A 23539-nucleotide genomic window follows, 5' to 3' on the forward strand; every position below is an offset into this window, starting at 1 on the left:
GACAATTTTAACTCTTTATTTGAAACAAACAATTTCAGAGACAGAAGGTTAGTCGTGACAACAGCTTCTCACTACAACACAAGGGTGGGCATGGCTCACTGAAGGGACAGGCCAGGCGCCTCAGAACAATATATACAATTTAAACAGTGGCTAACTGGTGACAGTTATAAAAACACAAAAAGGAGCCTGGGAAACAGCAAAGTCAACAGGGAAAGAAGTGGGTACCCCCTTTGCCAGAAGCTAATTGTTTTCTGGGACCTCCAATGCAAGATGGGGAAGAGAGAAGATGTAGGCAGTGGCGGCAGGCCCTGCGCCCACAGCTCCTCGCCTGTCCTTTGACCACAGATCCCATCCTGCATGACTCAAGGTCCCATAGGCTTGGCCTAGCTCTTATGATAGGGGAACAATAGAGGGGAACCCAGCCTCAACCCAAGTCAGAAGGTAGTTTTTGCCTTGGGAGGTCTGTCCATTGAACTAAAGGGAGGCAGTTACAGAGGGGGCTAAGCATGTTGACACCATGGCTCATGGCAACCTAAGATGGCAGAGAGACAAACACAGAAACCAAGGGGACAGGAGTCTGCACAACAGGAGTCTGCTCCCCGTACTTAGTCATTCTCTGCCTCTGAGGAAAAAAAGGCATTTGGAAGATTTTAAAAACGGCAGCACCAAGGATTGGTGCTTGCCGAGGGGGTGAGGGATATGCGGTGGTGAGATGGTGCCAACAACCAATTATTTCATAGGAGGGGAAGAGTGTCTAAGCTCTGTGTTTTATGTAAATGGTCCCCTCATCGCTTTCATTGTTTATTTCTTACCTTTCAGATAAGACCTTTTGGCATGGTGCTGGGGAAGAGTAGAGAAGGGAGTGGGCACAGGGCAGAGAAGGCAGCTGGGTTTTTCCCTAGGTCATGCCTAGGAACAAGAGGCTCTACCTATGCGGGATGGGTCAGGAAACCCAAAGCCAACAGGATCACCAGAGCTATTAACACTCCACCCAGAGTCTGGACCCAGAAGGAGGGGTTTACTCTGAAGCATAAAGAAAACGGGCAAGCTGGCTTTTGCCCATCACTGGGAGACCAGCCCCTGAGTACAGAAGACCAGGGCCCCATGGTTGTCAAGTGGTACGGAAGAAGATAAAAGCCAGGGTTCCTAGAGAAGGCAGGGAATGGGTGAGCGGAAAGGAGCAGTCAGGGCCCTTCAGAATGAGTAGCATTGGTTCCTGGGCCTGTCACCCTGAGGGACATGGCCACAGGACAGACATTGATGTGAAAGATGGATATGGATGGCACACGAGCTCAGTCCAGGTCTTCCTCCCCAGGACGACCCAGTTCCTCATAAATCTCGCGCACAGCCAGGATGCGATTGAGCATGCTCTCCAACATGCTGCGGTCCATGGGGATCACAGAATACCAGAGAGGTGACTCGGCGATGCAGGACCGTTCAGGTTGCAGGTAGAACACATCGTTGCGAGTCCGGAGGCTTTCAGGACTGCAACATCGGGGGTGGGAGTGGGAGTGGGGGTGGCAGGACAGAAGATCAGTACCAAGGCAAAGTAGATCCCTCGGGTCCCCATGCTAACGCTTTTCCTGCCAACCCACCAACTCACCATTTTGAGAGATAGAATTCATAGAACTTGACAGGGCAGCGGAGGGGATTCATGCGGTTCTCACGCTGCTCTAAGATAGGGGCTTCATCTTCTCTCTTCCGTTTTCCAGGACCCGTGTCTATAGGGGAGGGAAATGATTCAGACTCATTAAGAACACAGGCTCCATGAGCCACATCCAAGAGCACAGTTCAGGGCACAGGGAGAAGGCGTCACGACACAAATTACAGTCTCATCAAGATGGAGAGGTGGAAGAAGAGGTCAGTCTCCCTCTCCCACGCCAACCCAACATCCTGTCGGGCTGTTGTTATGCAACCCTCCCCAGTTCCCACTGCCAAAGACTCTCTTTAAAATCTCCCCCAAGTTGCTATCTTGAAGAGGTGATCTCAGAAGTTATTCAAAAGACCTGATAAAACAGACCCTACTGCAAGGGTGGGCTTGCCTTCTGGGATAGAGAAACAGCAATGACCCCAACCCCTTGTGCATTAGTCCAGGTAGAAGCATGGGTCCAGAGAAAGGACCTTGGAAACTTCACTCAGACAGGACAGAAGTCCAGGGACAGAAAAAATGGAAACCAAGGTGCAGTTGTTGTTAGACCCGATAGCAAAGAATCACAGAAAGCCTGTCATTCTACCCTCCCCGACAGCCAAACACACCCAATGGTTTCCTACCTGTCCACCACCCAGAAAAAGCAGGCAAGCAAGTAAACTGTCTTAAATGAGGAAAGAGGGGAAACAGGCCAGAGGGTGACCTCTTATTTATGCAACAGCTACTGCCTATCAGGTAGGAGGACTGGCTGTTTCTACCCTTTCTGCACACAGGAACAGGAGAGGGAAGCTAGGCGCCAAGGAGAGGGCCGACCTGGCAGGTATGGTGGGTTATGGCAGGGCATGGAAGGGGAAGGCAGAGAAGGGGCAAAAGCACAGGGGAGGGGGCAGCCTCGTACCTCGCCCTTTCCTCTGGCGGACTGGGGCATAGTAGCGGATGCTCACCACCTTGGTGGTGCCCCGAGGGGTGGTACACTTGCGGGACTGCCGCACCACATTGGTGAAGGAGAGTTGCATGTGTTCCTCAGCTGTCTGCAGCCCAAAAAACTTAGTGTTGAAGAACATGAGGGTGTTGAGGAGGACAAAGGGCGAGTAGACCCCCAGTTGCTTACACTCCCAGAGGTGCTCCTCCTCCACTCGAGAGAACACCGTATCTACAATGGTCAAGGGGGAGAGGCCAGTCAGGAGGGAGTGGCTACCCAAACCCAACCACTTCCCATCCCATGTGCCCTGCTCATTTCCCACACAATTCTCATTTGGTGAGTAACCTTTGTATATAAAACACTGTCACTTCGCTACACTTGCTACACTACACAGTGGGACTGGGCTTTAAAAAATATATACTTTCCACACCTGCATTTGGAACGCCTCTCACCACCCTCAAGTTGTAGACAAGTAAATGTAAACCTTGAGGAGTCCCACGATTTCTTGCTTTCTTTCTTTACTTACCACCCAAACCCAGGCCATCTTTTTCTGGTCCTAGAGATAGCTCTTCAGACCTAAGTCTTGATCCCCATCTCACGTTCAAGAACAGGCGCTCCTGTGCTCCTTTAACTCTAAACCCTGAGGCATCCAGCTACACGCTCCTGCCCTCGGGCCCTTTGTGAAGAGTGGCAGACCAAACAGCACAGGACTCTCGGGATGGTGGATTGGAAGAATGGAGAAAGCGGGTAGGGGTTGCTACGTCCCTGTTCCTTACTGTTGGGGAGGAGTGTGGGCTGCCAGGTACTCAGAGACTTGTTGAGTTCTTGAACAAAAGTCAGGTAGTAAAGGTCCGTGAAAATGTTCACCATCCGGTTATTTTCCAGCAAGTACTGGGGAAAGAAAAACAGACACACCTAAGGCTAGACTGTAGGTCCTAGAAGAAAGATAATGATGCTGAAGCCCCCAGGTATGGTGTCCTTGATCATTAGGAGACGATGGGAAACAGTTGCTTGATTAGGTGGCCTCGAGTGCTTTCCCCCAGGTATACCCACAGCTCTGCGCTACTCAGGCTTTGCTCGAAGAGGAGGAGGCTTGGAGGAGATGTTCTTTAGAAGCCCACACCTCCTTCTCAGGTAATACATGGTTGACTTCTCCCAGGGGGAACTAAACATTACCCCAGCACTCAAGGATCCCAGCTCCACCCATCCCTCCCCTCCTAGAATGGGCTTAAAGATTACAAAGGGGACCTGGATAGCAATGAAGACTGCTCCTTGGCCAACGGTCCTGGAATGCAGTTTTGATTTTAGAAGAGTATTGATATCTCATGTTCTATTTGGAGTAGGAGATTAAAGGCAAGCTGCCTGCTTCAGGTAGGGGACAAGATGAGGAACAGGGAGTGCAACAGAATAACTGCTTTTTTTTTTCATTAAAAAAATATTTTTTGGGTAGATGGGTATCACTTTGTTGCCCAGGCTGGTCTCAAACTCCTGGCTTGAAGCGATCCTCCTGCCTCAGCCTCCCAAAGTGTTGGGATTACAGGCGTGAGCCACCGTGCCTAACCCAGAATCATTTCTGTTTAGACCCTGCCTGCTGTGTTAAGAGTGACAGGAAGTGAGGTGGTGCACAAGAGGTACCTGCTGGATGCCAAGACACAAATAGTAGATACTGTCAGGTTCATATCGTTCACCATTGGGCCGAGTGATTTCTCTCACAAACTGGGCCAGACCGTAGTTGAGCTCAGCAGCTGAGCAGGCGAGAATATCCTCTTTGATACGCATGGGTTTGGCTGCAGTGATATGTTGTGCAGGGACAGGATTAAGAAAAACTCTACATGGAGAATTTCACTTAGCTCCATCACCATTAACCCCTCCATCCCTTAGTCATGCCTAGCTCCTGAACAATTACAGAAAGAGCCCCTAACCTGGAACCTAGACAGCATTTCCCTTTAATCTACAACTCCTCCCCATCTTCACAGGGCATCCTTAAGGGATCACACCCTTATCACTTCTAGACATCTTCAGCTGAATCACAGGCCCAGCCCCTTCTCCCCTTTCCCCTCCTCCTCCCTGTCCCTGCCTCCCCACACCCCCCATCCCCAAGTACTTACGGCCAAAGCGCAGCTCATCACCCTTGCTGGTTTCTCCATTGGCATATTTTGACTGCACCCAGCACTTCCAAGCATTGACACCATATGAATAGTTGAGCCCGGTACAACTAGGCTGACTGCTCATGGAGTCCCGGGAGCAGCTTTCGGAAAGCACCAGCCGCTTTTGACCCTGGAGGGGAAGAGAAAGCAGGGGCATGGCAGAGGTAAGGCCAGAGGCAAGGTGAAAGCTAGTCAGCACCATATTTACTGCTGGCCGGGGCAGGGGCTGATGTAAGCACACAGCAAGCTTCCATAGCACAGAGCCCCAGGAACAGCTTTGATGACCTTGTGAGATGGGGGGAGAGCAAAGTTTGGCTTTATCTCAGTACTTCTAGTGTTGGAGAAAGGAGGTTAGGGAAGGTCAAACTATGGTTGCTGGCTTGGCTCTCGCATCATCTCCCCTTTGGGCCTCCATTCTTCTTTTGTACATACAGTAGCCCCAGCCCTACCTTCCTCATGGTTCGGGGAAGGTCTTGTTCAGTAGACACATCCTCAGGCCCTACCAGGCCACAATCAAAGAGGAAGTCTACACTGGGATTAATGTCCAGAGGATCTAATGAAAAGGAAAGAAAGAAGAAATCAATTTCTTAAGATCTCAACCCTGCAGCCCTCCTGCCCCACCCCTGCTACTTGCCCACTTGACACTAGATGAGCCAAAGGAACCAGTAAAGCTATACCAAAAAGCATGCTCAGAGGCACAGAAACGCAAAACACAGCAATGTGAACTACTGAACCGTAAACATGTTGAACATGGTAAAATTTTATGTTTTTTTTCAGCTTAAAAATTAAAAAAAAAAAAAAAAAAAAAAAAGCATGACTCAGAAGTCTAAAAGAGTGCACCTGTCCTGGTGTCTCTGGCACTGCTCCCTGTGAGAACCTTCCGTCTTAGAATCACAATGAACACTTTTCAGGGTCATGCTCAGGGACACAAGGGACACTCCCTTCCTGATGGCACAAATGCTACCATACTCAGTGGGCATGGCTCCAATCTTACTCACTCTTAGGGAAGTCTGCCTCCAAGTCTTGCCCAGGCTCATCCAAGACATTGGCCATCTTGACTGCCATGGCCAGGACATCATCTCGAGCAGGCCCAAACAGGTCACAGTCTTCCAGGAGTCCCTCTGCACTCTGGTTGCTCACAAGATCTGGGAAGCAGAGAAGTTGGCTCAGTGGTTACAAGCTCCTGCTAGCACCCTCACAAGCTTTCAGGGACTGATCCCAACTATCCTCCCATTCTACTAGGCACCAAGATCACCAATACCACCCCCTCGGGCAGAGACATGCTGGTAGCACCCTGTCTCCCTCGTCGCCACCATCTATGGCATACCACAAAGGTCAGATGAGGCCTTGTCTAACTCCTCAGCCTCTGCAATCATTTCTGCCATAGCCAGGATGTCGGCCTCCAAGGGGTTGGAAGGGATCTTCACCTTCAGCTCCTCAATGGTCTCTACAATCTTGTCTGTGCTCTCCAAGGTAGTGGGCAAGAACATGGGCACAGGCACCTGGAGGCACGAATCCCAACTAAATGCCAAGAACCACACCAGCAGTTGGGGGGAAGTTGGGGGGACAGATGATGAGTGAAGGGGGACAGTTGATGAGAGTAAGGGGAAAGGAGGACCCAGCCAGGAAGGGCAGGGAAACTCACCGGGATAGGCATCGAGAAAGGCACCGGGACTTTCTGGCAGTACAGATGCATAGGCACTGGCACGAAGATGGGCACTGGGATGGGCAGCACGATCACCTGTGGCTTCCACTCTTCTGTGGATAAGAAAGGGGTCTTCTCAGAGACCCTGCTGGACTGGTCACATCTGACCCACCAAAAGCTCTAACATGCTCAGTGTCACAAAACTGCCCTTGAATCAAAGGCTGAAAGACACCTCTATGATTCTAGGACAACCATATGAATGAGGCTTCAGCTACCTAAGAAATCCCCTTGTCCAGCTCACGGACATAGGGCTGGCAGGCCTAGGACTCTGGAATACAGCCTGTGGCATCGAGGTACCCTGGCTCACCTGTTTGACTTCCTTTGGACTTCATCTCCACCTTGCAGGAGACGCCCCGATTCTGCATCAGTGGCTTACACATGGCAGCCTTGTTTTTGCGGGGTGTTGCTGGGGGTGGTGGGGGTGGAGGGGTGGGAGCAGTGGGAGCTGATCGGGTCTTCACAGGGATCTGCAAAGACAGAGGAACATTTGTGCCACCAACCGCCGTACCCTCCTCTGAGATTATCCTCCCCCTTGGCTTTTGCCCCGACCTTGCCCAAATTCCCATTTTCCTCTGGGGTCCTCACTGTGTTGCTGTTCTCCACTTTGGTTTGAGAGGGTGTCTGGGGTTTTGACTCAGGAGACTGACCTGTAGATCAAAACAAATGAATGCTCTCATCCAAGGGACTAGCTCTCCATTTTCCTTACCCCTGTTCCAGGAGAGCTTCATTAACAGGTACACCAAATACAGATGGGAACTTCTAGGATTTGACCCCCTTGCCATCCCAGATCTAGTCTCCTCTATGCCCCAGCAATAGCAGCCTAAAAGATTATTTGTTCCTGGAGAATGAAACATTACATTTTCCCCCAAAACCCACATTTGAGACCTTCCACTTAGATAGCCTGAAGAGTCTGTTATCCCTGGAGTTGTGGAGGGGCAGGGGTAACATTCTAGAAATAGCAGTCTTCAGTCTCACTAAATGTAGAGTTTATGCTGAGATTTCCTTATCTCAGAAACGTAACCATAACCCCTATATGCTCCATCCTACCAGGAAAGGCACCCACTCCCTAACAATATATATTTCATAGACAATCAGTAGATGCTAACTCCAAGAAGCTTTAAATAAGACTCCCCCGGTACCTGCAGGGTTCGGAAGCTAAAAGAGAATACAGTTCACAGTACTAGCACCCTATCTGGCCAGGGGTGAGCTGAACGCAAGAGGAAGGAGAAAGGGGCTAGGCTTAGGATTAGGAGAGTCCAGGCTCCCTCTAACAGAGTGTACCCCCTGCCTGGGACTCACTGTTCAGGAGGCTCTCGGGCCCACTCTGGGTATCCAGGTTGGGTTGGTTCTGCTGGCTATAGAAACGCAGAAGACACTGCTGGTTGCAGAAATGACGGATCTGCCCACGCCAGTGGATGGTCTCCAGCAGCTTCCCCTGGCGCTTACACGCATGGCACCGGGCAGCCTGAGGATGTCAAAAGGATGGTCAGACCTGCCTCCCTAAAATGCGTTGGGCCCTTTCTTTCCCCCGGGATAAGCCATGCTCCTCCCCTTGGAGATCGGGCCAGCTTAGAGATGGAAGGCTGGCTGCCCTCCCTGGAGATCTGTCCACACCCCGAGCTCAGTACCACAGCCCGTGCTCCCCACTGCCCTCTTTCCCGCCTCGCTCGCATGCTGACCCTCCTTACCTTGCAGTACCACAGCAGGTACTTGCTCTTACAGTCCTCACTGCAGAAGTCCCAGGTGCTGCCATCCAGTTGCTCGGTGACTCCGCGCTGGCAGGTCTGGGAGCAGTAAGTACAAGTGATACAGCACAAGCCCAGCTTCTTAGTGAAGTCCTGTTTGTACAGCAGCACACAGCCTGGAAAGAGGAGAAGAGGAAAGAGAGTCCAGAGACACAGATACCCAAGGGCAAGAGACCCAACCTTTTCAAGGTGCTATACCTGAAACCTCTCTCTAAGCAGCCCCTTGTGCCCAAAACTTTAGGGGAGATGGGGGTAGAACATCCCGGGCAGAAGGCCCTGCCTCATGGACCACTTTCCCGGCCTCCCTCCCTTCTCCTCCATTCTCCCTGGCTGGGAGTTATAGTGTCTTCTGCCCTTCCCCATCTCCTTACCTTCGCTGCAGAAGCTTTTCTCCACTCCGCTGAATCGGAGTTTCTCATGCAAGAGTTTCTCCTGCCGACAGTGCTCACACTGGGACACCACACCCCGAAGCCGCTTGAAGTCCTCACAGCAATCACGGCAGCAGAACTGGAACACTTGGTCCTGAGGTGGGGGCACAGGGCAGGGAGGACAAGCTGTAACATCTGGCCCCAGCAGGGGCCAAGTGGAAGGACCCCTTCAGACAGTCTGGTCGTGTGGCAAGACGTGGGTGGGGGTGGGGCTCTTACCTGCCAGTCCAAGACCTCAGGCTTGCCACTGAAGAGGCTGTGACAGTAGTGACAGCTCAGGTGAATGCCCCCCTCAGGGCTTGTGCGCTGGAGGGAAGGAAGACAAGTAAGGGAGGGGCAAGATGTGTGCAGCGGTGGGGAAGGGGAGTCAGGCTTGTTCTTTGCTCTGCCCAGGCCTGCCTACCCCAATTCTCCAACCCTCTTTATGTTGCCAAACCCTTCTATCCCTGGTCCAGGGTCTGGAGTACCTGGAACTTGGTCCAGCAGCTGGGGCTGCAGAACTGGTAGACTGTGCGGTCAACCTTGTTGTAGTAACAGGGGTCAGAGAGGCTGCGGCGGCAGAAGCTGCAGGGTCGGGGAGGGCCTGGGGCATAGAGAGAAAGAGAGAGAGGAAAAGAGAAAGAGAGAGGGAGAGAGAGAGCACACAGAAGGTGTAAGGCAGTGTAAGAGACGAACAGAAAATCCATGGGGAGATGTGGTTGGGACTGAGGTCGGGCAGCAAGGATTACTCTGGAAGAGGGGAGTATGGGAGGTAGAGAGAAGGCCAGCAGGGGACTCAGAGAAGAGGGCTTTGCACCTACCAGTGAGCCCTGCCTGCTTCACTTTGTAAGAAGTGGTACAGCACAGGGAACAGAACAAGCTGGTCTTGCCATTACGATCCACATGTGATAGCATCTCAAAGTTCTTACACAGGGTCTTGCACCAGACACATGGGTACACACGTGTGTTTTTCTGTGAGGATGGGGAAGGAGAGGCTGAGGCTGGATTTGTCCCTTCACTTTTATTTTTTAAATGTTTTAAACATGAAATATTTCAGGCATACAAAAAAAGTATAGATGATGATGTAACAAAGACCTGTGTATCCACCAGCCAGCTTCAAAAATAAAACATAACGGATACAATTGAAACCCCCTTTATTTGTTTTATTTCTCCCAGCCCTTGACCCATCAGCCACCTTTATTTATAACCCAAGAACCACACCCCCTTCCACAGCCCTCTAATGCACTACTCCCTCGGCCCCACCTTCTTGTACGCCCCCAAGCAGGTTGTGTTGCAGAACCGCTTTTGTTGGCCCTCGTGGAAGAGGAGCTCAGGGCCAGGACTCCCGGTCTTGGTGTAGATGTAAGCCCCACACTGGTCACAACAGTTGGTTTTCAGTCCCTTGTTGGCCCGGAATTTGGAGAAGCAAGAATCGCTGCAGAGCCGGTGTACCACGCTGCCATTGCTGACCTCGTGCAGGACCTGCCACACACATACACGCACCCTGAGCTAGGGCCTGGCCACCACCGCCCACCCCAATGCAAGGTCAGCCCCCCACCTCACCCTAGACCTTCACAGCAGACAGTGGGCCCAGGGACCCCCCAACCTGCGCCGCAGGCTGCCGACTTGATGGTGAGGTCCTGGGAGGTAAGGAAGGCCAGCTGTGCACATCCTGGAGAAGCTCTGTCCTTGAATACGCTCCCTCATGATGGCCGCCTTTCCTCCCCACTCCCCTTTCCACAGGGCCTGGACCCTGCAGCCCCAGGATGGGAGGGGCAGGTCAGGGCTGGCCAGGCTCTGTAAATCAGCCCCCACTGAGTGTCCTCACCTCTCCAGTCTTCTGGCATATGCTGCAGCGAGTAGCGTCGGCGGGATCCCCAGACTGGGGGATCGGGCGCTGCTGCTGGGCCTCATACAGGGAGAGACAGACGGATGTGCAGAACTCATGGAAGGAGCCTCCAGAACCAGTCTGCGCCACAACCGAGTCCTTGGTGTTCCAGATCTCCCTAGAGGTGGGAACAGGTTTGAATATTCACTCAAGACCACCCTCTCATTTCCTCAGCTTCCGCCCCTCCTCCAGGATCAATGACCACAGAGCCAAATACTCTGACTCTCTCCCTACATCACTCTCTCGCCCAGCTCCATCCTGCTAGGTTCTTACCAACAGTCTCTGTCTTACTCATACTCCTGCCCAGATCCCTGCCCTCTGCATAGCCCCCAAGACCCTCACGCACTTCTTGCAGAAGGTACAGGTCTTTTTGCCCGAGGGCTTCTTGGAGAAAGTGGTGAGGCAGGATGACGAGCAGAAGAGCTGAGGCAGCCCCTTGCGCTGATAGGCAGTCTGCCCCTTCTGCAGTGGTGTCCGGCAATGTGCACAAGTCATCTTGGTGCCCACTGCAGAGCGCCCGGCCCTTTGTGACACACTTGAGCGTAGGGACATGCGAGGAGAGCGCCGGGGCCGGAATGGCACAAAGTCCTCATCATTGGGGTCATCTACCATGGCATCAGAATCCTCATCTGACACTGGAACTGAGAAAGTGGGGGGATGGACATGAGAAAGGCCACCAAACCAGGTCTCCAACCATCCCCTGACCAACAGTTCAGTCCCTCTCCTGGGATCCCTGTTGTTCCGGCCTTTACACCCTGGCCCTTGTTACATCAGTATCTTAAGACCTTGGTGTCTCTCTCCCTTGGTTACTCTGTAACCTCCCAGGGAGGGAAAGGGAGAGGCTCTAAATGAGAAGATTCGGAGACAGAGATGGCATAGCTGAAACAGGAAACTCGCCATTCTCACTGCTCTTGTTTTCAATTTCCCCCACTGCCCCTGGTTCCCATGCCAACCCATAGCAGAGACAGGCACTTCATGCGCTTCATGGAGCAGGACGGCAGGAGCTAGAAGATCCATGCCCTGCCGCATGCCACTTTCGGACCTTTTCCACACCCAGAACTCCCAGGTCACACTTCCTCAAATCCTACTTACTGCTCTCAGTGGAATCTACAACCTCAGGTTTTGGAGGTTCTGCTCTCCTAACGCGCTCGCTTCTCTTCTGTACCTCGGAAAGATGGGAGGGGAGGAAAACTGACACCCTGGCCAGGCTAACACTAGTACAGGGTTTGGGGGGGGATAGAAGATGGGAGGGGGAAGGGAGAGTGGGGACCCTTGGCCCAGCCCTTAGGAGGAGGGAAGAAAAGGAGGTTGGACTTTCTCCCCAACAAGCAGTAGACACTAGTGCTCCCTCCCTCCTCCTAACTCTCCTTACACACACTCTCTACAGAACAACATCTGGGAGGGAAAATGAAGGGTCTGTCCTTCCCAGAGCTAAGGGGGAACCAGACTCCTTCCAATCCCCTCCCCCTCACCCGTTCAGGCGGCTTCTCACTCGCCTTCGCAGTCAGGCCATCTCCTGCAAAGGAAGCAGAAGGCAGCCTAAATGTTGAGCCTGCCCTCACCACCCTCTCCCCGGCCCAACCCCCGCCTCCATTCCTGGGGAAGAACTTACTCAAAACTGAAAGGGAAAACTCGAGTGCCTGTGGCTTCTTGGGGCCCCTCTCAGGGTTACCTCAGGCTCTGTACTAAGGGTGGGGGGGTGCACGTGCAGCTATTCCATGAAAAAAAAAAAATCTATCCTTCCCACCAGCTTTCTGTCCCAATCCTTGGGGGTTAAGGAAACACAGGTAATATACCTTTCATTAAGAATTTATATTTTACCAATGAAAAACACACACAACCACCCAAAGGTAGCAAAAGGAAAAGGAAGCATCAGTGTATGGGTAGCTTCCCCTGGATTCAGGTGGTTATATAAGCCCTAAGACCCTCGTCACAGCCTGATAGAGGCACACCACTAGGCAGAAGAGGGGAGACACTAGAGCCTCTCAAGTCAAGGTTGTCCCTCCCCTATCAGAGACGCAATCCTAGACCCTGCATTTCTATCGCTCTGCTGAAATCCTTATGCTGTTAGGGGCTCCAGAACCTAGTTACCATTCATCAAACCCAGAAATCCCACTCCCATCTAGAACCAAAAAGCTGTAAAGGTCTTAGAACCAAGAAGCCTGGTGTACTCCCCCAAATCCTGAAGGAAGGACTCTGGCACCAAAAGCCCACTGGGGTAGGAAAAAGGGAACCCTTCCCACCAAATTCACTCCTCCCAACCTACGCTCCCTGAAACCTTACCCCATTCCTCCCCCACAGCCTGTGCCCACCCCTACTTTCCTTAATCTTCCTCTACACACCACCCCACTCCTCCCTCGTAAACCCCAAGTCCTTCCCCACACACATCCCTACACTTATCTCTCCACCCTCCTCCTCCCCACTACTTCCCAAAGCACATAGCCACCCCTCCTTACCACCACCCTCTCCCAGCCCTGATTCTCCAGATAATTAGGCAACCTACCTGGCAAGGAAGGATGTGCAGGGGGGCTAGAGCCCCCAGGTTTGGTCTGAGAACTGTTGATTCCATCCCCCAGAGTCTCTCCCACTGAAGGGCTAGGCGGGGCATTTGGGCTCTGTGGCTGCCCTTGGGGAAGCTCCTCCTCCTGCCCAGGGGAGCCCCTTCTTGCAGTAGCTATGGAGGTGGTCTCCTCCTCTTCAATATGTGGGGACTGCAGTGTTATTGGAGAATCTGGAGCCAAAGGCTCTAGTAGCCCCTCAGGTGAACAGGAATTTGCCCCAGCCCCTGGATCAGGTGGTACCACCTCAGGGGTCTGGCCCCCTGGTCCAGGCTCTAGGGTCTGATCTCCTGCATCCCATGCCAGGGTTCCCTCAGGACCGTGGTCCACCTCCGGGGGAGAGGGGGCTTTATAGAGCAGCCCCCCCAGCCCCAGCAACTCAGTGGCTCCATCCAGGACTCCAGGGTCTTTTTCCAGGCCAGCAGGGGTATCAAGCAGGTCCAGGGCTCCCGAGGATGGAGAAGGGCCAGGGGGGGCCCATCCTCGAGTTGGGGCAGTCTGGGATTCCAGTAGATCCTCTCCAAATTCCATGTCTACTGGTAGGTCTCCAGCCAGGGGCTTCTCTGGCAGGGTCAATGGGTCAAATGGACTGGGGAAATCACTGGGGTCCATGAGTATGGCTGGATATGTACTGCAGATTAGGAGTAGAAGAGGGGGCAGTAGAGGTGGTCTTAGCCTGAATTCCTTCTTATATAGGCTCTGAGACACACCCCATCATCCACTTGGATTTCTCATGAGCAGCCCCCACCACCACAATCTACAAGCATTTCCGAAGGCTTTAGTCCTAATGACCACTCCCCCCAATACAGCGCCCCCAGTGGGGAGAGGCGTTCCCCGCCCTGGCCCCGTGCCCACACTGGCCAGGCAGTCGGTCGTTCTACCCGCCCACCCCCCTACTCGACTGCAACTCCCATTCCCTTCCCCCCTTACCTTTTACCCCCCGCAACTCAGGCTGAACGCCCCCTTAGAGTCTCCTAAGGCCGTCGCCACCAGGAGCCTTTCCCGCCCCCGCGATCTCAGTTTCTATTCCCTCCCCACTCTGCAGGAGCCCCCCAGCTCCCCAGTCTTTACCCACCCTGTCTGGCCCCACCCCCCCTCCCCGCGTTGCTAGGTCCTCCCTCGGCCCTTCCCCCGCCCCCACAAACTGCCCTTCGCAACCCCTTCCCCCCAGTTACCTTTCAGGTCGCCCACTTCCTCAGCCCCGTCCCCCTTTCCCATTGCTCCTCCAGTCCTCCCTTCTCCTGTTGCCCACCCCCAACCTCAGGCATTTACAGGAAGACATTTTGGAGCTACGATCTCTCCTTAGACCCCCCCACCACCGCCTCCCGGCTACTGCAAGATCCCGCTTGCAGGTTCGGTTCGGCTTGAGCAGGCCCGACCCCTACCTGCGGCAGGGTTAGTGCAAAGGCTACAAGCCTAGAACTGCAGACAGCGACGGCCCCGCGCTCCTTCTCTACCTCCCTCCCTAGCAGCCGGGACAGGGGTCGCGGCCCCTTTAAATGGCAGCGCCGCTCGCAGCGCCCAGCGCTCTGCACCAGGCGGGCGGGCGGTGCCAGCAACCAACCCCATTGGCTGGCTCGAGGAGGGGGCTCGCGAGACAGCGCCGGCCCCCGGCGCGAGACTCCCAGTCCAGTGGCCGCCTGGAAATTGCGGAGTGGAATGCAGCCACTAGAGACGGCGCCTGAGCCCCCGCCCGGGGCCCCGTTAGTTGAGAAGGAAAAGATAGCCTCTGGAGCTTTGAAGCCGGCCCCCCGGGAAAGGCGGCGTCCCCTTTCCACCCAAGGGCCGAGTGCGCTCACCCACAAAAAACACAGATCTACGCACCTGCTCCCCTTACCTGGCTCAAGAGTCTGGCCCCCGTCACACCCTGCTCGCCCTACCTCCTGGAGCCCACTCTACCCGTGATCCCCTCCTCTCATTCAAATGGTTCCCGGTCCCCTCCCCCTCCCCGTGTCTCTCTTAGCTTCCCACTCGTGTTCACCCCCTCGGCGTCCGCCCCCCTCAATAGTCCCTACCTACGCCATGCAGCAGGCGCCTGCCAAGATTACCCTCCCCCATCCCCACCTCTCCGGGTCCCGCCCCCTGGGCGACTGTTGGGGTAGTGAGTGACAGCGGAGGACGGGGGGAGGCAGGGACCCAGCCCTCACGTGCCCCTCCTTCCCTTGTCTGCAGCCACGGGGCCCCCAAAACAGTCTGAGAGTCAGAGTTATGGGGTATCTGAAGCTTGATCCCCAGCCACACAGGTCGGGTTAAATGGCTCTGGCTCAGTGGCAACGCCTGTGCAGTAACCGTTACTGCTTGATGACCCCCAAACCAGGTCCTGCAAAGCTACCCCCTACTCTCTCAACAGTCTTAGGGTAAGTTCTGGGATCTTCTCCCTGAGTCTTCCTGCAGGAGCTCCCTGTATTATCTATGGAGTTTTCCTCCCTCACCAGGGCTGATCTCTCTCTCTCTCTCTCTCTCTCTCTCTCTCTCTCTCTCTCTCTCTCTCTCTCTCTCTCTCTCTGTATCTCTCTCTCTCTTTCTCCTCCAGCCCCCTTTCTGTCCTTGTCTGTCTCTCTCTTCTCGCTCTCTCTCTCTCTCTCCCCCTATCTCTTTTTGTCTCCTTCTCTGCCTCTCTGCTTCTCGTGCGCACGAGCACGCAGGCGCGCTACACGCTCCCCCCTCCTGGATGGTCCTTAGCATGTGGGTGTGGCTGAGGTTAGGCTAGAGAAGTGGAGTAGGGGTAGGTGGCACTAGCGTTAAGCCTACTGCCTTTAAAAAATTGTGCCAGCATCCATTCTCAGTCCGCATTATATTAATAGTTAGAGCACTTTACAATCCCCGCTCCCCACTTCCCACCACAGCCCCTAAGGGCTGAGAGCATTTAGTAGCCGAACTACTAGAGGAGGCTCAGGCTGGAAGGAAGTCTCCTTAGGAACAGGAAGGTTTGGTATCCAGTGCCTATTCTAGCCTGCCTCGTTGACTTCTGGCCTCTCCTCCTGGCCACACAAAGCCTCTCCTGCTCTTGTAGTCCTCGGGAGTTTACCCTCCCTTTTCTCATTCCTTTTCCCAGAAACCTTATCCTTGCTAGCTCCCCACATGGCCTTGAGGTTATCTTTGCTCCCTCCTACATACAGAGATAAAAGCCAGAGTTTCTTACTTTTAGATTTCCCAAATCCAGCTTTCTCTTTGTCTTAACCAGCATTCTGTGTACCCATCTCCTACCTCCTGTTTATTTCTATTCCTGGACCTCCCCTTTGCATTTTCTGCTTGTTCCATCTCAGTTGAGCCACCTAGTTTTTTCTGTATTGCCTGCCTTCCTCAACATATACTTGAATCCTTGGCTGCTCTGCTTGTGGAGGTGCCTGGTCACTATCTTTCAAGTTGAGGGGAGCTGATCTAACGGGGTTAAGTGGTGTGTTATTAATTCTAGACGCAGTGTGGTGGCCTAAGAATGGGTTCTGGAGTCAGACCAGATTTCTAATATCAGTTCTGCCTACTTTTTAGCCAGGTGACTTTGGACAAGTGACTTGTCAAGTGAAGGGCCTTAGTTTTCTCCTCTTTAAAACAGATAAGGAAACAATCTAAATGCCCAATAATAGGGGATTTTGGTTATGCAACAGACGTAGTCATTAACAACCACATTTTAAGTCTGGCGCAGTGACTCACGCCTGTAATCCTGGCACTTTGGGATGCCAAGACGGTTGGATCCTTTGAGCCCGGGAGTTCCAAACCAGCCTGAGCAACATGGTGAAACCCCTTCTCTACAAAAAATACAAAAAATTAGCAAGGTGTGCTGGTGTGCACCTGTAGTCCCAGCTACTCAGGAGGCGGAGGTGTGAGGATCACTTGAGCTGGGAGGCAGAAATTGCAGCGAGCTCAGATGGCGCCACTGCACTCCAGCCCGGGGCGACAGACGAGGGCTCTGTCTCAAACCAAACAAAACAAAACCCCACATTAAAAAAACAAAAACAAAAAACAACTAATGGCAGACAGCACAGAGGATTTTTACGGTAGCGAAAATACTCTCATGATACTGTAATAGTGGATACTTGTAAGTATACATTTGTTCAAAGATACAGAATGTAAACACCAAGGGTGAACTAACTCTAATGTAAACCGCAGGCTTTGGTTAGTAATGATGTGTTAATGTAGGTTCATCGATTTTAACAAATTTACCACTCTGATAGGGATGTTGGTAGTCAGGGGAGCCGTGACTGCATGGGGGAAGGAGGTATATGGGACTCTCCGGACCTACCTGTCAGTTTTGCTGTGAAACTAAAATTGCTCTTAAAAAATAAAATCTTTATTTAAAAAAATTAAAACCCATAGAATGTACAACACCAAAAGGAAGCCCTTATGTAAACTATGGCCTTTGGTTGATAATGTGTCACTGTATATTCATCACTGCAAGAAATTTACCACTCTGGACAGGATGTTGATAGGGAGGCTGTGTCTGTGTGTGGAGAGGGGTACAAAGGACTCTTGATACTTTCAGCTCAATTTTGCAGTGATGCCAAAACTGCTCTAAAAAATAAAGTGGGCCTGGTGCAGTAACTCCTGTAATCCCAGCACTTTGGGAGTCAGGAGAATCGCTTGAACCCGGGAGGCGGAGGTTGTGGTAAGCTGAGACTGAGCCACTGCACTCCAGCCTGGGCCACAGAGCGAGACTTCATCTCTCAAATATATATATATATATGTTTTGTTTTGTTTTGTTTTGTTTTTGAGACGGAGTCTTGCTCTGTCGCCCAGGCTGGAGTGCAGTGGCCCAATCTCAGCTCACCGCAAGCTCCACCTCCCGGGTTCACGTCATTCTCCTGCCTCAGGCTCCCGAGTAGCTGGGACTACAGGCGCCCGCCACCACGCCCGGCTAATTTTTTGTATTTTTAGTAGAGATGGGGTTTCACCGTGTTAGCCAGGATGGTCTCAATCTCCTGACCTCGTGATCCACCCGCCTCGGCCTCCCAAAGTGCTGGGATCACAGGCGTGAGCCACCGCGCCTGACCGTAAATAAAATTTTTATTTAAAAAAATTTAGGCCGAGCGCAGAGGCTCACGCCTGTGATCCCAGCACTTTGGGAGGTCGAGGTGGGTGGATTGCTTGAGCTCAGGAGTTGGAGACCAGACTGGGCAACACGGTGAAACCCCATCTCTACCAAAAGCACAAAAAATTATCCAGGCGTAGTGGTGCACGCCTGTGGTCCCAGCTACTCAAGAGGGTAAGGCTGGAGGTTGCAGTAAGCCGAGATTGTGCCACTGTCCCCAGCCTGGGCGATAGAGCAAGACTCTGTCTCAAAAAAATAAATAAATATATAAATAAAAATAATTTTCTGCATTTTGTATTTACTAAACTTTTTTTTTTTTTTTTTGAGACAGAGTCTCACTCTGTCTCCCAGGCTGGAGTGCAGTGGCATGGTCTCGGCTCACTGCAACCTCTGCTTCTCAGGTTCAAGCGATCCTTATGCCTCAGCCTCCCGAGTAGCTGGAACTACAGGCGTGTGCCACCACACCAGCTAATTTTTGTATTTTTTTTAGTACAGATGGGTTCCACCATGTTGGCTATGGTTGGTCTCGAACTCCTGACCTCAAGTGATCCACCCACCTCGGCCTCCCAAAGTGCTGGGATTGCTAAAGGCGTGAGCCACCACTCCCAGCCTTGTATTTTCTAAACTGTTCTACTGAGCACATATTGTTTTTATAATCATGAAAAAATGTTAGCACCTAAAAATAAGGGCTGGCCAGGCACGGTGGGAGGCCGCACTTTGGGAGGCCGAGGCGGATGGATCATTTGAGGTCAGGACTTCAAGACCAGCTTGACCAACGTGGTGAAACCCGTCTCTACTAAAAAATACAAAAATTAGCTGGCGTGGTGGCAGCTCAGGAGTTCGAGACAAGCCTGGGCAACATGGTGAAACCCTGTCTCTACCAAAAATACAAAAAATTATCTGAGGGCAGTGGTGCATGCATGTGGTCCCAGCTACTCGGGAGGGTAAGGCTGGAGGTTGCAGTGAGCCAGGATTGTGCCACTGCCCTCCAGCCTGGGTGATAGAGCAAGACCCTGTCTCAAAAAATATATATATATAAATAAAAATAATTTTCTGCATTTTGTATTTCCTTTTTTTTTTTTTTTGAGATGGAGTCTCGCTCTTGTTGCCCAGGTTGGAGTGCAGTGGCGCGATCTTGGCTCACTACAACCTCCACCTCCCAGGTTCAAGCGATTCTCCTGACAGGCTTAATTTTTTTGTTTTTGTTTTTGTTTTTGAGACGGAGTCTCGCTCTGTTGCTCAGGCTAGAGTGCAGTGGCACAATCTTGGCTCACTGCAAGCTCCGCCTCCCAGGTTCACACCATTCTCCTGCCTCAGCCTCCCTGTAGCTGGGACTACAGGCACCCGCCACCATGCCCAGCTAATTTTTTGTATTTTTAGTAGAAACGGGGTTTCACCGTGTTAGCCAGGATGGTCTCGATCTCCTGACCTCATGATCTGCCCGCCTCAGCCTCCCAAAGTGCTGGGATTATAGGCGTGAGCCACCGTGCCTTGCCAACATTTTGTTTTTTAAGGAGTCGATGTGCATAGAAAGAGGCTGGCTTTTACAGTCAGAAAGATGAGGATCCAAATCCTGATTCTACCATTGAGTATTTATACAGCCACTTTGAACCTCAGTGTCCACAAATGTAAAATGGAGATAATACCTCATAGAGATGCTATTAAGTGAAATGTACACCTGCCTGACCACAGGTGCTCAATAGATACTGGTTATTGTTATTATTTTATTTTATTATTATTGAGATGAAATTTCGCTTTTGTCTCCCAGTCTGGAGTACAATGGCGTGATCTTGGCTCACTGCAACCTCTGCCACCCAGGTTCAAGCGACTCGCCTGCCTCAGCCTCCCAAGTAGCTGGGATTACAGGCATGGTCCACCATGCCCAGCTAATTTTTGTATTTTTAATAGAGATGGGATTTCACCATGTTGGCCAGGCTGGTTTTGAACTCCTGACCTCGGATGATCCACCTGCCTTGGCCTCCCAAAGTGCTGGGATTACACACGTGAGCCACTGCACCCAGCCTCGTTACTGTTATTATAAGAGAAATACATCTGGTTCCATGGAAGGTCTAGGATTTCCCAAACTGGAGCTTTTGTATCCTTAAAATGAATATATATTTTGTCTTTGACTAGGCCAAGAGTGGCCACAGTTGGTAAGTTTGAGTATATATCTGCCACATGTGAAAGGCTCTAACATAGAATGGGCTAATATTTCGGGGGAAGAGGATAGCCTGCAATTCATCTCTCATTTTCATCCTTGTTACAGTTATCATATACTTCAGCCTTGTTACAGTTATTGTATACTACTTTATACTCAGTGGTAGTATACTACTATACTCAATTCTTTTATTTTATTTTTTATTTTTTTTAAGACGGAGTCTTGCTCTGTGGCCAGGCTGGAGTGCAGTGGTGCGATCTTGGCTCACTGCAATCTCCACCTCCTGGGTTCAAGCGATTCTCATGCCTCAGCCTCCCGAGTAGCTGGGATTACAGGCACACGCCACCACACGCAGCTAATTTTTGTATTTTTAGTAGAGACAGAGTTTCACCATGTTGGCCAGGATGGTCTTGATCTCCTGACCTCGTGATCCACCCACCTCGGCCTCCCAAGGTGCTGGGATTACAGGCGTGAGCCACCATGCCCAGCCTACTCAATTCTACTACTTGTTATTTACCATTTATAAATCACTCTTAAAGTGCTGTAAGCACTATAAAACATGTAAAAATGCAGTCCTGGCCAGGCGCGGTGGCTCACGCCTGTAATCCCAACACTTTGGGAAGCCGAGGTGCAAATCACCTGAGGCCAGGAGTTTGAGATCAGCCTGGCCAACACGGTGAAACCCCGTCTCTACTAAAAATACCAAAAATTAGCCAGGTGTAGTGGTGGGCACCTGTAATCCCAGCTACTCAGGAGGCTGAGGCAGGAGAATCACTTGAATCCAGGAGGTGGAGGCTGTAGTGAGCCGAGATAGCGCCATTGCACTCCAGCCTGGGCAAAAAGAGTGAAACTCTGTCTCAAAAAAAAAAAAAAAAAAATTGCAGTCCCTGTGCTTATGAGGACTCTTTCATTTTAAGTGTACATTATTTTGTTTCTGATTACAAAAATATAAATAAATGTTTACTGTAAAAATTTTGGAAAGCACAGAAAGTCTGACAAAGTAAGCAATAATTGTTTATATTCTACCACAGGGAGTTTTTTTTTGTTTGTTTTGTTTTTGAGACTGAGTCTCACTCTGTTGCCCAGGCTGGAGTGCAGTGGCATGATCTTGGCTTACTGCAATCCCTGACTTCCGGGTTCAAGTGACTCTCCTGCCTCAGCCTCCTGAGTAGCTGGGATTACAGGCGAGTACCACCACACCTGGCTAATTTGTATATTTTTAGTAGAGACAGGGTTTCACCAGGTTGGCCAGGCTGGTCTCGAACTCCTGACCTCAGGTGATCTGCCTGCCTCAGCCTCGGCCTCCAAAAGTGCTGGGATCACAGGTGTGAGCCACTTCGCCCAGCCACCACTGTACTTTTTGATGTATATCATTCCAGTCCTTTTTTTCAATGCATACACATTTTTACGAAATTGGAATAATCTTGTACCACATGTTTTACAACATAATTGTAATGGCTGTGTATTATTCCATTATTTGGATGTGCCATGCTTTATTTAACTAATTACTGATGGATGTCAAACTTTATTACTATTATTATTATTTTTGTGGAGTCTCGCACTGTTGCCCAGGCTGGAGTGCAGTGGTGCAATCTCAGCTCACTGCAACCTCCGCCTCCCGGGTTCACTAGATTCTTGTGCCTCAGCCTCCCTGGTAGCTGGAATTATAGGTGCACACGACCATGCCTGGCTAATTTCTTTTTGTATTTTTAGTAGAGAAGGGTTTCACTATGTTGGCCAGGCTGGTCTCGAACCCCTGACCTCGTGATCTGCCCACCTCGGCCTCCCAAAGTGCTAGGATTACAGGCATGAGGCACCGTGCCAGGCCCAAACTTTATTTTTTCACAACAGGCAAACTCACATATAATTTGATCAAACAAATGGAGGTATAATGTTTTCTGAATTCAAGGATTTCCATGGACATCAACAGGGACTCTGTAGAACCCCAAGTAAACATCTGAATGGGAATGGTTAACTCTGAAGAAGCATTACACTGCAGACTCTTTAGTGGTCATTTGATTAGGGTGAAGTTCACTCTGTAGAACCAACTATGGAACCACATGGATTCTGTTGTGTTTTTTGTTTGCTTGTTTTTTGTTTGTTTTTGTTGTTGTTGTTGTTTGTTTTGAGACAGGGTCTCACTCCGTCCTCTGTCGCCCAGGCTGGAGTGCAGTGGCGCGATCTCAGCTCACTGCAACCTCCGCCTCCCGGGTTCAAGCCATTCTCCTACCTCAGCCTCCCAGGTAGCTGGGACTACAGGCACACGCCACCATGCCAAGCAAATTTTTGCATTTTTAGTGGAGATGGTGTTTCACCATGTTGGTCAGGCTGGTTTCAAACACCTGACCTCAAGTGATCCACCAGCCTCAGCTTCCCAGAGTGCTGGGATTACAGGAGTGAGCCACCGCACCTGGCCCTGTTTGTTTTTGAGACAGGGTCTCACTCTGTCACCCAGGCTGGAATGCAGTGGCATGATCATGTCTGACTTCAGCCTTGACCTCCCATGCTCAAGCCATCCTCTCACCTCAGCCTTCTAAGTAGTTGGGAGGACAGGTACATGTTACTATTCCAAGCTAATTTTTGTTTTTTATTTTGTAGAGACAGAGTCACTATATCCTGCCTCGGCCTCCCAAGGATTTGGGATTACAGGTGTGAGCCACTGCTCCTGGCCATGGATTCTTTTTTTTTTTTTTTTTTTTTTTTGAGATGGAGTCTTGCTCTGTCACCCAGGCTGGAGTGCAGTGGCACCATCTCGGCTCACTGCAACCTCAGCCTCCCAGGTTCAAGCAATTCTCCAGCCTCAGCCTCCCGAGTGCCTGGATTACAGGCGTGCACAACTATGCCCGGGTAATTTTTGTATTTTTTGTAGAGACAGTGTTTCACTATGTTGGCCAGGCTGGTCTTGAACTCCTGACCTCAGGTTATCTGCCCACCTTGGCCTCCCAAAGTGCTGGGATTATAGGCATGAGCCACCGTGCCCATCTGTATTCTTACTCTTATCCTTTTTAATTTTTTTTTTTTGAGACAGAGTTTCAATCTTGTTGCCCAGGCTGGAGTGCAGTGGCGTGATGTCGGCTCACTGCAACCTGTTACTCCCAGGTTCAAGCAATTCTCCTGCCTCAGCCTCCCTAGTAGTTGGGATTACAGCCATGTGCCACTATGCCCAGCTAATTTTGTATTTTTAGTAGAGATGGGGGTCTCTCTATGTTGGTCAGGCTGGTCTTGATCTTCTGACCTCAGGTGATCTGCCTGCCTGGGCCTCCCAAAGTGCTGGGATTACAGGCGTGAGCCACAGCGCCCAACCATTCTTATTCTCATGGTTAGTGTTTTGTAGC

The 23539-nt window shown here is 51.3% G+C and overlaps 1 protein-coding gene and 1 long non-coding RNA gene across 14 annotated transcripts in view, besides 2 other annotated features; one reads left to right on the forward strand and one right to left on the reverse strand.

Annotated features, from left to right (window-relative positions):
• On the reverse strand, nt 1-15667 carry ZMYM3 (zinc finger MYM-type containing 3). Of its 11 annotated transcripts, none has more exons than XM_047442633.1 (25): nt 15036-15667; nt 12966-13651; nt 11935-11978; nt 11555-11621; nt 10809-11103; nt 10403-10580; nt 9838-10056; nt 9396-9546; nt 9063-9178; nt 8815-8901; nt 8539-8689; nt 8111-8283; nt 7722-7887; nt 7008-7069; nt 6730-6889; nt 6363-6475; nt 6045-6219; nt 5716-5862; nt 5167-5270; nt 4679-4847; nt 4206-4357; nt 3347-3461; nt 2547-2801; nt 1604-1721; nt 1-1485 (listed from the first exon to the last, which is right to left on the reverse strand). In XM_047442633.1, the coding sequence occupies exons 2-25, from the start codon at nt 13630-13632 to the stop codon at nt 1293-1295; spliced, it is 4077 nt and encodes a 1358-aa protein (XP_047298589.1). In that variant the 5' UTR covers nt 13633-13651; nt 15036-15667; the 3' UTR covers nt 1-1292.
• Nucleotides 15013-15062: a silencer, noted in NCBI's record as "silent region_20895". NCBI's record gives its function as "represses an Ori minimal core promoter by ATAC-STARR-seq in GM12878 lymphoblastoid cells {active_cell/tissue: GM12878}" and the evidence as "EXISTENCE:reporter gene assay evidence [ECO:0000049][PMID:35858748]".
• Nucleotides 15083-15132: a silencer, noted in NCBI's record as "silent region_20896". NCBI's record gives its function as "represses an Ori minimal core promoter by ATAC-STARR-seq in GM12878 lymphoblastoid cells {active_cell/tissue: GM12878}" and the evidence as "EXISTENCE:reporter gene assay evidence [ECO:0000049][PMID:35858748]".
• The window catches only part of LOC105373247 (uncharacterized), a 17985-nt gene continuing 9630 nt past the window's right edge, over nt 15185-23539 (forward strand). For all 3 annotated transcript variants that reach the window (XR_938433.2, XR_938432.2, XR_938434.2), the window contains exon 1: nt 15185-15377. This is a non-coding gene — a long non-coding RNA (uncharacterized LOC105373247). The remainder of the gene's footprint in view (nt 15378-23539) is intronic.

Source organism: Homo sapiens, chromosome X (genome assembly GCF_000001405.40).
Source record: "Homo sapiens chromosome X, GRCh38.p14 Primary Assembly".
In the NCBI taxonomy this organism is placed as follows: Eukaryota; Metazoa; Chordata; class Mammalia; order Primates; family Hominidae; genus Homo; species Homo sapiens.

Coding starts and splice junctions, on each gene's coding strand:
- ZMYM3 (XM_005262309.5), bottom strand. CDS start 13,632: ATGGACCCCAGTGATTTCCCCAGTCCATTTGACCCATTGACCCTGCCA. Junction 10,057..10,402: donor TATGCCAGAAGACTGGAGAG/GTGAGGACACTC, acceptor TGTGTGTGGCAG/GTCCTGCACGAGGTCAGCAA. Junction 8,690..8,814: donor CTGAGGTCTTGGACTGGCAG/GTAAGAGCCCCA, acceptor CCCCCACCTCAG/GACCAAGTGTTCCAGTTCTG.